General features: G+C 38.8%; 2 protein-coding genes across 58 annotated transcripts in view; one reads left to right on the top strand and one right to left on the bottom strand.

The window, feature by feature from the left end:
* Positions 1-9,795, top strand: part of BTBD10 (BTB domain containing 10) — a 75,215-nt gene extending 65,420 nt beyond the window's left edge. For all 12 annotated transcript variants that reach the window (XM_017018410.2, XM_024448713.2, XM_024448712.2 and 9 more), the window contains one exon: positions 8,662-9,795. In XM_017018410.2, coding sequence (XP_016873899.1) covers positions 8,662-8,972 — 311 coding nt within the window. In that variant the 3' untranslated portion in view covers positions 8,973-9,795. The remainder of the gene's footprint in view (positions 1-8,661) is intronic.
* A 741-nt stretch (positions 9,796-10,536) lies between these two features.
* BMAL1 (basic helix-loop-helix ARNT like 1) overlaps positions 10,537-15,330 on the bottom strand; it is a 110,615-nt gene continuing 105,821 nt past the window's right edge. For 44 of the 46 annotated variants that reach the window (NR_147788.2, NR_147790.2, NR_147791.2 and 41 more), the window contains 2 exons: positions 12,012-12,114; positions 10,537-11,207 (listed from right to left, as the gene is read on the bottom strand). Coding sequence is in view for 39 of the 46 variants with exons in the window: in NM_001351804.1 (NP_001338733.1) it covers positions 11,047-11,207; positions 12,012-12,114 (264 nt within the window). In the remaining 7 variants the exon portion in view is untranslated. Of the gene's footprint in view, positions 11,208-12,011; positions 12,115-13,078; positions 13,324-15,330 lie in introns of all 46 variants that reach the window. The other 2 variants (NR_147789.2, NR_147787.2) reach the window with 1 other exon arrangement.

Genomic DNA, 15,330 nt, shown 5'->3' with positions numbered 1-15,330 from the left:
GGGTACATAACGAAATGAAGGCAGACATAAAGCTGTACTTTGAAACCAATGAGAAAAAAGACACAACATACCAGAATCTCTGGGACACATTCAAAGCAGTGTGTAGAGGGAAATTTATAGCACTAAATGCCCACAAGAGAAAGCAGGAAAGATCTAAAATTGACACCCTAACATCACAATTAAAAGAACTAGAGAAGCAAGAGCAAACACATTCAAAAGCTGGCAGAAGGCAAGAAATAACTAAGATCAGAGCAGAATTGAAGGAGATAGAGACACAAAAAACCCTTCAAAAAATCAATGAATCCAGGAGCTGGTTTTTTGAAAGGATCAACAAAATTGATAGACTGCTAGCAAGACAAACAAAGAAGAAAAGAGAGAAGAATCAAATAGACGCAATAAAAAATGTTAAAAGGGATATCACCACCAATCCCACAGAAATACAAACTACCATCAGAGAATACTATAAACACCTCTATGCAAATAAACTAGAAAATCTAAAAGAAATGGATAAATTCCTGGACACATACACTCTCCCAAGACTAAACCAGGAAGAAGTTGAATCTCTGAATAGACCAATAACAGGCTCTGAAATTGAGGCAATAATTAATAGCTTACCAACTAAAAAAAGTCCATGACCAGATGGATTCACAGACAAATTCTACCAGAGGTACAAGGAGGAGCTGGTACCATTCCTTCTGAAACTATTCCAATCAATAGAAAAAGATGGAATCTTTCCTAACTCATTTTATGAGGCCAGCATCATCCTGATACCAAAGCCTGGCAGAGACACAACCAGAAAAGAGAATTTTAGACCAATATCCCTGATGAACATTGATGCAAAACTCCTCAATAAAATTCTGGCAAACCGAATCCAGCAACACATCAAAAAGCTTATCCACCATGATCAAGTGGGCTTCATCCCTGGGATGCAAGGCTGGTTCCACATGCAAAAATCAATAAACGTAATCCAGCATATAAACAGAACCAAAGACAAAAAACACATGATTATCTCAATAGATGCAGAAAAGGCCTTTGATAAAATTCAACAACACTTCATGCTAAAAACTCTCAATAAATTAGATATTGATGGAACGTATCTCAAAATAATAAGAGCTATCTATGACAAACCCACAGCCAGTATCATACTGAATGGGCAAAAACTGGAAGCATTCCCTTTGAAAACTGGCACAAGAAAGGGATGCCCTCTCTCACCACAACTATTCACCATAGTGTTGGAAGTTCTGGCCAGGGCAGTTAAGCAGGAGAAGGAAATAAAGGGTATTCAGTTAGGAAAAGAGGAAGCCAAATTGTCCCTGTTTGCAGATGACATGATTGTATATCTAGAAAACCCCATTGTCTCAGCCCAAAATCTCCTTAAGCTGATAAGCAACTTCAGCAAAGTCTCAGGATACAAAATCAATGTGCAAAACTCAACAAGCATTCTTATACACCAATAACAGACAAACAGAGAGCCAAATCATGAGTGAACTCCCATTCACAATTGCTTCAAAGAGAGTAAAATACCTAGGAATCCAACTTACAAGGGATGTGAAGGACCTCTTCAAGGAGAACTACAAACCACTGCTCAGTGAAATAAAAGAGGATACAAACAAATGGAAGAACATTCCATGCTCATGGGTAGGAAGAATCAATATCGTGAAAATGGCCATACTGCTCAAGGTAATTTACAGATTCAATGCCATCCCCATCAAGCTACCAATGACTTTCTTCACAGAATTGGAAAAAACTACTTTAAAGTTCATATGGAACCAAAAAAGAGCCCGCATTGCCAAGTCAATCCTAAGCCAAAAGAACAAAGCTGGAGGCATCACGCTACCTGACTTCAAACTATACTACAAGGCTGCAGTAACAAAAACAGCATGGTACTGGTACCAAAACAGAGATACAGACCAATGGAACAGAACAGAGCCCTCAGAAATAACGCCGCATATCTACAACTATCTGATCTTTGACAAACCTGACAAAAACAAGCAATGGCGAAAGGATTCCCTATTTAATAGATGGTGCTGGGAAAACTGGCTAGCCATATGTAGAAAGCTGAAACTGGATCCCTTCCTTACACCTTATACAAAAATTAATTCAAGATGGATTAAAGACTTACATGTTAGACCTAAAACCATAAAAACCCTAGAAGAAAACCTAGGCAATACCAATCAGGACATAGGCATGGGCAAGGACTTCATGTCTAAAACACCAAAAGCAATGGCAACAAAAGCCAAAATTGACAAATTGGATCAATTAAACTAAAGAGCTTCTGCACAGCAAAAGAAACCACCATCAGAGTGAACAGGCAACCTACAGGATGGGAGAAAATTTTTGCAACCTACTCATCTGACAAAGGGCTAATATCCAGAATCTACAATGAACTCAAACAAATTTACAAGAAAAAAACAACCCCATCAAAAAGTGGGCAAAGGATATGAACAGACACTTCTCAAAGGAAGACATTTATGCAGCCAAAAAACACATGAAAAAAAGCTCATCATCACTGGCCATCAGAGAAATGCAAATCAAAACCACAATGAGATACCATCTCACACCAGTTAGAATGGCAATCATTAAAAAGTCAGGAAACAACAGGTGCTGGAGAGGATGTGGAGAAATAGGAACACTTTTACACTGTTGGTGGGACTGTAAACTAGTTCAACCATTGTGGAAGTTGGTGTGGCGATTCCTCATGGATCTAGAACTAGAAATACCATTTGACCCAGCCATCCCGTTACTGGGTATATACCCAAAGGACTATAAATCATGCTGCTATAAAGACACATGCACACGTATGTTTATTGCGGCACTATTCACAATAGCACAGACTTGGAACCAACCCAAATGTCCAACAATGATAGACTGGATTAAGAAAATGTGGCACATACACACCATGGAATACTATGCAGCCATAAAAAATGATGAGTTCATGTCCTTTGTAGGGACACGGATGAGGCTGGAAACCATCATTCTCAGCAAACTATCGCAAGGACAAAGCCAAACACCGCATGGTCTCACTCATAGGTGGGAATTGAACAATGAGAACACATGGACACAGGAAGGGCAACATCACACACGGGACTGTTGTGGGGTTGGGGGAGGGCGGAGGGATAGCATTAGGAGATATAGCTAATGCTAAATGACGAGTTAATGGGTGCAGCACACCAACATGGCACATGTATAAATATGTAATAAACCTGCACGTTGTGCACGTGTACCCTAAAACTTAAAGTATAATAATAATAAAAAAATAAAAAGAACTACCTGAAAGTGGGTCTTTTATGAAGAAGCAAAGAGGTTTATTTGGTGCACAATTCCGCAGGCTTAACAGGAAGCATGACTGGGAGGCCTCAGGAAACTTACAATCATGGCAGAAGGCAAAGAGGAAGCAAGGACCTTCTTCACATGGTGGCAGGAGAGAGTGAAGGAACTGCCACATACTTTTAAACCGTCAGATCTCATGAGCACTCACTATCACAAGAACAGCATGGTAGAAACTGCCGCCATGATTCAAACACCTCCCACCAGGCCCCTCTCCTGACACGTTGGGATTACAGTTTGTAATGAGATTTGGATGGGAACACAGAGCCAAACCATATCTGTGGGTGACAACCTCATCTCTCCATTATAAGATTAAGATGCTCCTTTGTGCGGTATTATTTTGACACTAAGAATGTTCAGCTCCCCGCTAATCATTACCTAAAAATTTTAAATTCTAGTTGATAATTTTTGCCTGAATTTGTAATTTCATTAAGGATTGCAAAATGATAATTTTCTCATTTATCATTCCTTTTACATTTATCAGCTGGTATTTTGTAAAACAGCTTTCCTCTACCTAGTGAGGTTATTTGGTTAGCTATCATTATCTCTGTTTTTAAGAGAAAGAAGCTAAAGCTTAAAAGGTTAAATACTTATTAAAGTTTTTTGGGGAATAAATAGCAGAGCCAGGTCTTGAATCCAAGTCTGTGTGATTTGAGTCTGTGAGTGGTTTTGAAATATTATTTTAAGTAGAAATTTTAAAAATTAAAAATTTAAAATTAAAAAAATTTCCACTTAAATAGCCAATATTAGTTGCCTGTGTACTACAATCTATGATATTGGGCTTGACTTTGGCAGGACGGTAACTAACCAGGCTCTTCTGTTCTTTTTTTCAATAACTGCTTCTATGTACTGAAGCACTCTTTTCTTTCTCCACTAATATGTACACCAATAGCCGTATTTTCTTTTCAAGTCTATTACTTTTACCTCTTGAAAAAATAAGTAGAATAGTCATAACCCCAGCAGAAGTGTTGAGACTTTCCTGGAATTACAGAAAAAAAATTGAGATTTCCGAGTTAGCCATTTTGTTACTATCCTCCCCCACCATTTCTATGCCCCTGCCATACCAATCCCAAGTCCCTTAAAAAGAGTTTATTAGAATATTAAATGTGTTGACTTTTATGGGAGCTAGATTGGGTTGGTGTATAAGAGACATGAGGAGGACCAGAGAGAACTTGGATATGTGAGAAAAGGTGAAATATAAGGCCGGAAGTATTCAAAAAATAATTTTAGCTCTGTGGTCCCATATTCATATTGAGAGATTGCTATAGTCAGGCCTACCTAAGGCCTCTTCTACTTACTTTTAAGCAGGCTTTTTGGGTTTATTGCTGTTGTTAAACACAAATGTGTTGTGGGAAAGCACAAATAATTCTTACCTAAATCATTCTCCACACCACAATTCCACCAAAAGGCACTTCTTTGGGGTTTTTCATTTTGTTTGTTTCACTTATCCCTTAATGGAACAACATCTCTCAACCTCCTAGGGTTGGGTTCTTAAGGCAGTTTAGGACTACTGCTACCCCATCGAGCAGACCATATTGGATGTGGCCTTAACTCCCATCATTAGTCCTTGTCCTGAACTCAGTAGAAAGCTCTCTTCTGTCAGAGTAATTGGCTGAGACTTAGAACAGAACCTGAAGTTTAAGACAACAAACTCTAAAATAATTGTGGAATTACAGTTCCCATAGAATATAGGAAATGCGAGGCAAAGTAATGAAGTCTTTAATTGGATGGGATTGTGAATTATTCTACCCTCTGCATCCTGGGCAGGAATGGCAAGACAGTAGTAGGACTGGCTCTTATCACTGAAAGTTCACCTATATACAGAACCTCTCATTTCCCAATTCCATGTTTCTGGAACTGCATACAAAATTTTGTTCTCTGCAAGATTTGAACAAACTAAGCTAAAAAAAAAAATCTGAGCTTCTCTTTTAATAAAGAGTATAATTTACTCTTTATTAAAGAGTAGAATTTACTCATGGCTGTCCTCCATTTGACCATAATCTGTCTTCTAATGTTACCTCCAGCTATTTCCCAGTACACTTTCTGCTCCAGTCATACATGTGTTAGGGTCTCCTAAACCATCTTCTGTGTTCCTGCCTCTCTAGCTTACCTGATGCCATTCTCTCCTTAGAATGATACTCTGTCTGCCTACCTTGCACTCCCCTTGTTTCTGCCCATCCCAATCTTGCTCATCCATGAAGATTAAGGAAGGCATTCAAGAAGCTTTTTCTATTTTAGTCCATTAGAATCTCATTCATCTTCTGAATTCTTTACGCTTCCACTATTGCTTTAACACTTTCTCTTATGTACGTATATTTGCTCTTTGGAATATTCTTTGACTTTATGAACAATTTAATGACTCTCAATAGACCATAAACACCTTAAGGTAGTGATCTGGCATTACAATTTTGTGATGCAGTAGCTGCTAAACCATTAACTGTTGACTGAATAGGTTGGTAAATCTGCAAGTCAGGGGCAGGCTTGCCCTGTCTGTCTGTCTGTCTGTCTTCTGTCTATCTATTTATCCATCTATCTGACAGGGTCTCGCTCTGTCACCAGGCTGGAATGCGGTGGCGCAACCTCAGCTCACTGCAGCCTCCGCCTCCTGGGTTCAAGTGATTCTCCTGTCTCAGCCTCCCGAGTAGCTGGGACTACAGGCGCACGCCACCACACCCAGCTAATTTTTGTATTTTTAGTAGAGATGGGGTTTCACCATGTTGGTCAGGATGGACTCGATCTCTTGACCTCATGATCCGCCTGCCTTGGCCTCCCAAAGGGCTGATTTTACTTTATTTTTAAAGGAAAAAATGTTGAGTAAGATGGATATTGGAAGAGGTTATTACTTATAACTGGCATATCCTGGTAGTTCATTCACTCTTTGTTCAAATATTTGTTTAGCACCTGCAGTGTATCAGGTACTATGCTAGGCACTGAGGATACACCAACAAATTGTTCATAAAGTCAAAGCCATATAGGAACTCATTATTTAGGTCAGAGAGTCAGACATACAAAAAGGTAATTACAGTTTAGTTACAGTTTAGTTCTGTTAAGTATTGTTAACATATGGGAGTGCTATGGAGCATAAGAAGTGAATGATTAACTGTGTGGAGAGTCTTAATGTTTTTGCCAGGGATAAAAGAAGGTGGAGCGCAGGGATCAGGAGGCTGAGAGGGAAGAGGCAGCAGAACAATTTGTGTAAAAGCATGTTTGGGGAAAGCTTAATATGGCAGGTGTATTTAAGAACTCTAGAGTTAGAGTGTAGCATGATAGTAGATGACAGTAAGTAGATATGGAACCAGGCTGTAAAAAAAGCCTTGTATAATATTCTGAGGAGTACAGACCTTCCAATTAAGCACGAGGAAACCATTGGTAGTTTTTAAGCAAGGATTGTAATATGATTACATTTGTCTGGAGTGGTTATTTTGTGTGGGGACAGAATACAAGGAGATGGGAATTTTAAAGTCTTTCTAATAGTCCAGGAGGAATCAAGGACAAGGGAATGGAGATGGAGACCTTTCTGATTTCTGGTGCTGCCTTCAGAGGTAATTGACCAAAAGTATGAAATGAAGACATTCTACAGGTTTTTAGATTTTCAGTTTTGTTCACCTGCTGCACCTATCTCACCCCCACCACATACACACATACTCCACACATGGCTATTTGTACTAGCTACCAATGATGCCTACATGCATTCCCTTATGCAGTAATCATTAATTGATCCCCTACTATGTGAGACCATTCTATTTTTTCTGATTCTAACTATGGTCTAACTTTGGCCTATGGGCCAAAATCAGCTCATTGCCTCTTTTTTATAAAGTTTTATTGAAACATACACATGTGGCTGGGCGCAGTGGCTCACACCTGTAATCCCAGCACTATGGGAAGCCGAGGATCACTGGAGGTCGGGAGTTTGAGATCATCCTGGCCAACATGGTGAAACCCCATCTCTACCAACAATACAAAAATTAGCCAGGTGTGGTGGCAGGCGCCTGTAGTCCCAGCTACTCGAGAGGCTGAGGCAGGAGAATCTCTTGAACCCGGAAGACAGAAGTTGCAGTGAGCCGAGACAGCACCACTGCATTCCAGCCTGGGTGACAGAGACTCTATCTCCAAAAAAAAAAAAGAAAAACATACACGTGCTCATTCATTTACGTATTCTCTGTGGCTGATTTCACTTTACAGTGGCAGAGTGAAAAGTAGCTCTAGTAGAAACCATGTGGCCTACAAGCCTGAAGTATTTACTCTGGACCTTTACAGAAAATGTTTGCCAATCCCAAACTAGTTAATTCTTACTAGAAGAAAGGAGGGAAGGGGTCTATAATAGTTTCTTAAGGACAGTTGATCTTTGGAGAAGTGGCCTTACTAGTAAATAACTAATTTTTTTTTTCAAATCTAGGGTTGTCCTTACTTTTAAGTGACTATGTTCCAAAAGAGGAAGGTAATATTAGGTACTATTAATCAGGGAACGCTGCTTCGGGAATGTGACTGTAAATTGAATGCTTGGTTGTTGGGAGTAGTAATGTTAAAATGATATGGGAGGTTAAAATATTGGCCTTGCTGATCTAGATGCAGAAGTATCTAGAACCACCTGGACAGCTGTACAGCTTTTTCATTTAACAAAAAGAAAAGAAAAAACTCAGAGCAATATAAAGACGAGATGTAGGTTTAAGGAAACTAGCAGGCTAATGTGGCTAAATTCCAGGCCTGTAGGCCGGGTAATCCTGTGACGAGAATATAAGGATACGTAGCTAGAGGCCGGCATGGTGGCTTGCGCCTGTAATCCCAGCAATTTGGGAGGCCGAGGCAGATCACTTGAGGTCAGGAGTTCGAGACCAGCCTGGGCAACGTGGTGAAACCCCCCCTCTACTAAAAACACAAAAATTAGCCGGGCATGGTGGCACATGCCTGTAATCCGCGCTACTCTGGAGACTGAGGTGGGAGAATTGCTTGAACCTGGGAAGCAGAGGTTGCAGTAAACCAAGGTCACACATGGCACTCCAGCCTGGGTGACAAAGTGAGACTCCATGTCAAAAAAAAAAAAGGATACATAGCTAGAGACCAAGATCTGCTCCAACATACTCCTACTTTAATAATGTTTTTTTGATGGTTGATATATTGAGTAATTGAAAGAATGATAGAAGATTTTATGAATTACATCAGTAGGGTTTTCATGTCTGGCTCATGAACTGATGAGTAGGTGGATGGAATATTGTTTTCACTTCTTTGTTTTAAATTTGTTTCTTTAGGATCTATAGCAGAAAAGCTTTCTAAGGCGAAATTGGGTGAGAGGTCTGTGTGTGTCTCCTCAGTTTTTAAAATCTTTCTTTCTTTCAGGTTATCCTACCTACAAAGAAAAAGTAAAGAAAAGGCCTGGAGGCCGCCCAGAAGTGATCTACAACTATGTCCAAAGACCCTTTATTCGAATGTCCTGGGAGAAGGAAGAAGGAAAGAGTCGGCATGTAGACTTTCAGTGTGTAAAGAGTAAATCTATCACCAATCTTGCAGCAGCTGCAGCAGACATTCCCCAGGACCAGCTGGTAGTCATGCATCCAACTCCACAAGTGGATGAGCTGGATATTCTCCCTATCCATCCCCCTTCTGGCAACAGTGACCTCGATCCTGATGCACAGAATCCAATGCTGTGATGCTGATCTTCCTTGAAACCATAGCATGCTACTCTTCACAGTGACGTTGTACTCTCCTCATTCTGCACTGCAAGGCCACTCTTCTTCATTGTGAGATGCACATAACAATGTTTAGGATATTGCAGTGTAGGCTTTTTTAAAGACCAAAGGTAGCTGAATGGTTTTTTTTTAAATGAGTACAACTCTAGCATTTTGAAGTTCCAGTTGTAAATGTATTTGTTTACCAGTAGGTTTGTGAAATTGGTTCTTTGTATGGGGGATGGTCCTTTTTCACACAGCTAGGTCTTTTCAGAAGTGGTGGAAATTGGCAGCTGGGGTACTTTCAGTTTGGACTGATATTCATCACACCTCAGATAAAATGCAGAGTAATATATAGTTGCACTTTATAAATGGTGGTTAAATGGAAATGTTCAAGCCATTTTATAGTTGTGATGCACAATATAATTTAAGTGCTTCTGTCAAAGTATTCCTCCAGTACAATTTGTATAGTTTGCTGCCCTTGATGAGCAAAAAGTATTTATCTTGGGCTTATCTGAATGATCAGGATGAGATTTAATGCCCATATCTTACCAGTTCAGTTATCTCCAGAGCCATTTCACCCTTTAGAGTGAGTCACATGCAGGGAGTGTGAATGTCAGAGGTGGTTTATTATCCAGTCTGCCTTACCCTTAATCTGTTCACAGATATTTATTTACTAATGCTTTTTTTTTCTTAAGAGTTATGGGATAGGAAAATGAAGTGTTTGCTCTTCATTTACTAAATGATTGTAAACTTGAGTTTTTCATCAAAATAAAATTCCATTGTTTTAATGTTTCTGACCAAATTTATAACCACATTGACCAGATTTTTAGTCTCATAATTTCCCATCTCGGTGGTGTAAGTATTATTAGAAATAGTAGCTCAAGGAACTTTTACTATATGTGTGATGAGGCATTTAAATTCCCTAATTATAAAATGTACTATAAATCAAAACAATATTTATTAGAGCTGAAAAGAGTATTTTCTAGTCCAACTTGATATGAAGGGCAAAATGACTTTACTAGGTCATATAGTCACCCTAAGTTTCAGAGCCAGTTTCTCATACTAGTTCAGTGCTTTTTCCATTATACCATGCTACTTTGCTTAGCAAATTATTTATGCAAATGCTATTCTAAATATTCTGTGGTCCAATTCAAGAAGGGATCAAATATTTAGGTGCTTTAGGACTGGGGTCACTTACTATATAACTGAAGTAGTATTAGAGAGGTGCAGCATTAGAGAAGCCAATTTGTTAAATATAATCTTGAATTTATAATTTCAGAGGATTCGATGTTTGTGGATAAGCAGTAACATCTTTGTTCTCACATAAATTAAAATTGCAACAATTTATAAATGAACTATTTTAACAACACAGCTAAGCTAGTAGCATGGGGAAATTATGCAAGCCCAGAATCGTTATGAAGGCCAGAAAAGCACCACAAATGCTACTGGCGTAGATCATCCTTGAACACCCACTGTAGAAACTTATAATCCAGCCCTGCAACACGTAGGATTTTTTTTCTAATTATTTGAAATGTGAACAGTATTTATAGAACAAGGGAAACATTTATTAAAAATATTTAACTGTCTAGTACATTATACTTTAACCCATATTTATAGTAAAGGATTCTTACAAGGAAGAATAAACGGCTTTATGATACAATTAGTATAAGAAATATCCACATGGGGGACTTCTTTGTAGTGTAAAAACACCATACATCTGAAATGACCATTTGCATATAAAAGCTACCAATGATGCTTCTGTGCACAATGATTAAAAAATTCAACACAAACAGAATCCAAAATATACAATTAATGCAAGCTATCCACAGCTAGCCCAATAATCAATGATGAGGAAACACTGGAGCAGGCTTAGTTCCACTTTGTCTGAAGTTACATATAGTAAGATTGACTTGTATCAATGGCTCTGAGATGGCTTTTATGAAGTCAGTACATAAAAGCTATTCTCTCCTTATCCAGTAAGCTTCACAGACTGTAAAACTCCACCAGTAATGCACTTTGATACTATAGCTGTTGCCAAAGCAACATGTAGTGTTTACAGCGGCCATGGCAAGTCACTAAAGTCAACAGGGCCACCCAGTCCAGCATCTGCTTCCAAGAGGCTCATGATGACAGCCATTGCTGCCTCATCATTACTGGGACTACTTGATCCTTGGTCGTTGTCAATCATGTCTATACCTATGTGGGGGTTCTCACCTGTGGGAGGAGATAAAGACTGGTCAGTGATTTCTTTTTTAAAGCATCTTCAGATTAAGTAAGCAATTCCTAAGCACATTTTTAATAAGAAAGTTACATTTAATGGTAGGGTGAGATGCTGCTTTTTGGGCTGCATGGCTATCTTTTTTTATATCGCTGTTTTTTAGAGGAAAGAACCAATTTTTTAAAAATACGTAAGAAATAAGTGGGGTTACGTTGTGAAGAGACAGCTCTAAGGAATCAAATGATCATTTTAGAAATAAGTACAAAGCGCTTAAAATTTAGTAAATGTTAAAAATATTTGAGTCAAGCTTATTTTAATAATCTGATGTAACCAGTTAAGAGGAGTTACAAAAAGAAAGGCAAATAGGAAGGGAGAGTTTAGGAAAAAAACAGATCTAGAAAGCCCAGGGGAGAAAAAGATGGATGTGATGGGAAAAGCAAACTCTTTTCACTTAATGACTTTTAATACCTTCTGATATGCTTACTAATCACCCTTCTAGGCATTATCTCTGAACCTTCATTAGCCTTCTCTCTCTGAAGAGATTATGCCCCACATGGGAGAAAGCCTATGTCTAGGTAGCTGTAGCCTCCTCTTGAGTTCCAGGCACAAACTTGGACCTCCACCAAAACTCAAATACTGGTCAACTTTTTAGAGATTTAAACAAATTTTAAACTTTTATTCTGTTCCTATCAAATTTATCTAGGATTAGCTTGTTTCACACAGTTCAGTTCTTAAAATTGACTTTATGTAAGATGTTTTGCAAGCTCATTGCAATGGAAACGAATAATGATGCCACTTACCAAGAATAGAAGAACTATCAGAATATGGATAACCTGGGTTCTCCTGAGCCTGGCCTGATAGTAGGCCACTGGAAGGAATGTCTGGAGTCCCTCCATTTAAAATCTACAAACAAAAGGAGGGAAGTGTGAAGTTTGAATCAGTATTATGAGCAATGCCAAAAGGAAAATGAAGCATGGGGTGGGGTGGGGAGAAGCTTCAAATGGCTTCAGTTTTCTATTGGATGATTTCAAACAAGGAACTGTTAGACAGACATGGTCAGAGTAAGAAAAAACCTCTCCCCCGAACTATTCTTTTCTCTCCATTTTAGTGAGCCCACAGAGGCAACTTAAAGGCTGAATAAAATCCCAAGAGCATTCAACTGCCTGGAATCATGATGCCCACATATTTCTTTAGGACCAATGCCTAAACTTCAATGAGCCCAGCTAGACGTTTCCCCTATAAGGGAATAAAACATCTTATAGTGACAGATATTTCTGAAGAAGAAAAAGTGGAGTTAACAAGCTGTGAAGAGACACAGCTCAAGGAGTCAAATGAAGAAAACAGAAGTAAATCTCTTATACTACAGGTGCCAACTTCAGTAACCTGTGGTTTAAGTTAAGACAGGCTACTGGGGAGGATTATTACTACTACTCAGTAAGAGAACTCTGTCTCAAAATCTCCCCCACTCACCCCAGCTGCCTTCCCCTGGCTGAGTCTCAAAGAAGAGCATTCTTTGAGACCTATCTGGATATACGTGAGGAAACAGTTTGGTAGCTGCTGCTTTCAGGAGCAGCAATGATTTCAGGCTTTGCCAGCAGGTGGCATTATAACTTACTTTATTTCCACAGCAACGTTTTGGTCTAGGGACCCTTTTACACTCTTAAAAAAATCATTGAGGACTCCAAAGAACTTTTGCTTATGTAGGCTGTATTTATCAATATTTACTGTATTTGAAATTAAAACTAATAGATTTCTTAAATGTAATAAACCCGCTACATGTTAACATAAATAATGAATAGTATTTTAATGAAAAATAACTATTTTCTAAAACAGTAACAAAAAATTACCAGGCAGAGTATTATCTTACATTTTTGCAAATCTAATGTCTGGCTTAATAATTTTCAACTGGATTCTCATATATGTTTTTCCATTCAGTCTATTTAGATACGTCTTGTGATTCAAGTATATGAAGGAAATCCAACCTCCCACAGATAAGTAGTTGGAAAAGGGAGGCATATTTTAATAGACTTTTCAAATAATTGTATTCTTTTTTGATACCACTTCAAAACTTGACACGTAGAAGTTTCTTAAAGGTGAGTTGCAATGTGGAATCTGAAACCATATCAATGAATGTTTTGTACTCTTTATATCTTGGCACTTAGGATGGATCTTTTACCCTTACATGATTTTGAAATACCTTGCATTGTTTAGTTACAAAATATTGGTTCACTGAGTTATGCAGATCTTCTATATATTGACACATTTCATTATAGAGCATCAAAATATCACTATTATTAATACTCCCTATCTCATCAACAACATTTTTTAAGTTTTAGGAAGATCTCAAGGTCAAAGTAGCAGAGACAAGTTTTCTAAAAATTCCAATTTTTGCTTGAAAGCTCAGATTTTATCATTGGCAACAAATGTCAGTCATTTTCCTTAAAGTGACAGGTTCACTTCATTCATTTCCAAAAAAAAAGTATTCTAAATACCCAAAACCGAATGACCATATACAATAAAAATGGTGTCCAATGAAAATAGTAGCTAGTTCAACTCACAACTTAATCACACAAGTAGTTTTTGAGACAAACATCATACTTTGGTATGCAGCACAAGTTCTGTGTACTTCTCATTTTGTCACAGAGCATTAAAAAGATGTGTGCTTGAGAATTTTATAAAAGTAATGATGGACATTTTCCCTCCCTCCCTCACTCCCTTCCTTCCTTTCCTCCTTCCCTCCTTGATAGGGTCTCACTCTGGTTGCCCAGGCTGGAGTACAGTGGCACAATCTCAGCTCACTGCAGCCTCAACCTCCTGGGCTCAGGTGATTCTCCCACCTCAGTCCCCGGAGTAGCTGGGATTACAGGTACACCACCACACCTGGATAATTTTTTTTGTATTTTTTAGTAGAGATGGGATTTCTCTATGTTGCCCAGACTTGCCTGGAACTGCTGGACTCAAGCAGTTTGCCTGCCTCAGCTTCCCAGAGTGCTGAGATTACAGGGGTGAGCCACTGCACCTAGCCATGATGGACAATCTTAAATGAAACTGGCTTTAAACTATTTTTTTACTGTGAGTGTGTGGTGGTGAAGAATACAATGACTACTAGTATAGTTTGGTGCCACTTGTCTGATTTTTGTAAAATGCCAGCAATTTTACCCAACCGTGCTTTTAGTATGAATAGTGCACATTATCAATACAGGGAAAAAATTAACGTTTTAATGTTATTAAGAAAATAGCTTTAACCTTGCAGACCCTTAAAAGGATCTTGTGCCCCCTCTCTTTCTGGAAAAAGACTGCAGATGACATTTGTAGAACTGCTGCTTTATCTGAATTTTCCTTAGTGCTTCTGGATGTCTGTACTCTCTTGCGACCTATGGAGGCTCACTTAGGCTTCCTTTTTAGCTTGATCCTGACAAACAACTGCAGGCTAAATGGTTCATTTTTGGACCTTCCAAATTTGAAAGTGACTGGAAAGGGCTGGGTATGGTGCACCATTTAATACTGCTGTCAGTTTTAACTGTCTTGTTTAAGCTGCTTTTCTTATAAGTCCTGCTGCCCAGGACTCATCTCGTGAGAACACATCCAAATTTCTTCTCACAGATCCATTTTATAATCCATTCTTCTCAAAGAAAAGGGAGAATTTTCATAAGTGCCTCAAAAATAGCTGGGGCTTTATGATGCAGAGCACAGCTTTTGATTTCTGGTAGTTGTTGATGTGAAAAGAATTGGAAGCCATGAGCCCAGGATTGTAGCCTGGGGGCCATACTTATAAAACGAACGCTGAGGAGCCTGGATCTTGTCACTATAATGTTGTGAAGGTGAGATGAGACAATGTATATGAAAGTTCTTTGAGTAATATTTAAGCCTATACTGGACTGATAACCTTTCAAAACCAAGAAGTAGAATCCTTGGTAATACCAGGAGTCAAGTCAAGTGCCTAAAAGTTAACTTAAGAAGCAGAGACTGGAAGACCACCCTAAGAAGATGGTGGATCCAATATGCAGGAAGGACCTGGAGGTATAACAGAAGAACAGCTAAGAAGACAGCTGGCAAGCAGTGTGTGTGTTGTGGGCAGGGGGGCGGGGGTCACGGGACACCAAGCTCAGACTTCATCTG

This window comes from Homo sapiens, chromosome 11 (assembly GCF_000001405.40).
Source record: "Homo sapiens chromosome 11, GRCh38.p14 Primary Assembly".
NCBI classification, from domain to species: domain Eukaryota; kingdom Metazoa; phylum Chordata; class Mammalia; order Primates; family Hominidae; genus Homo; species Homo sapiens.
This window is presented reverse-complemented; position numbering and strand designations above follow the sequence as displayed.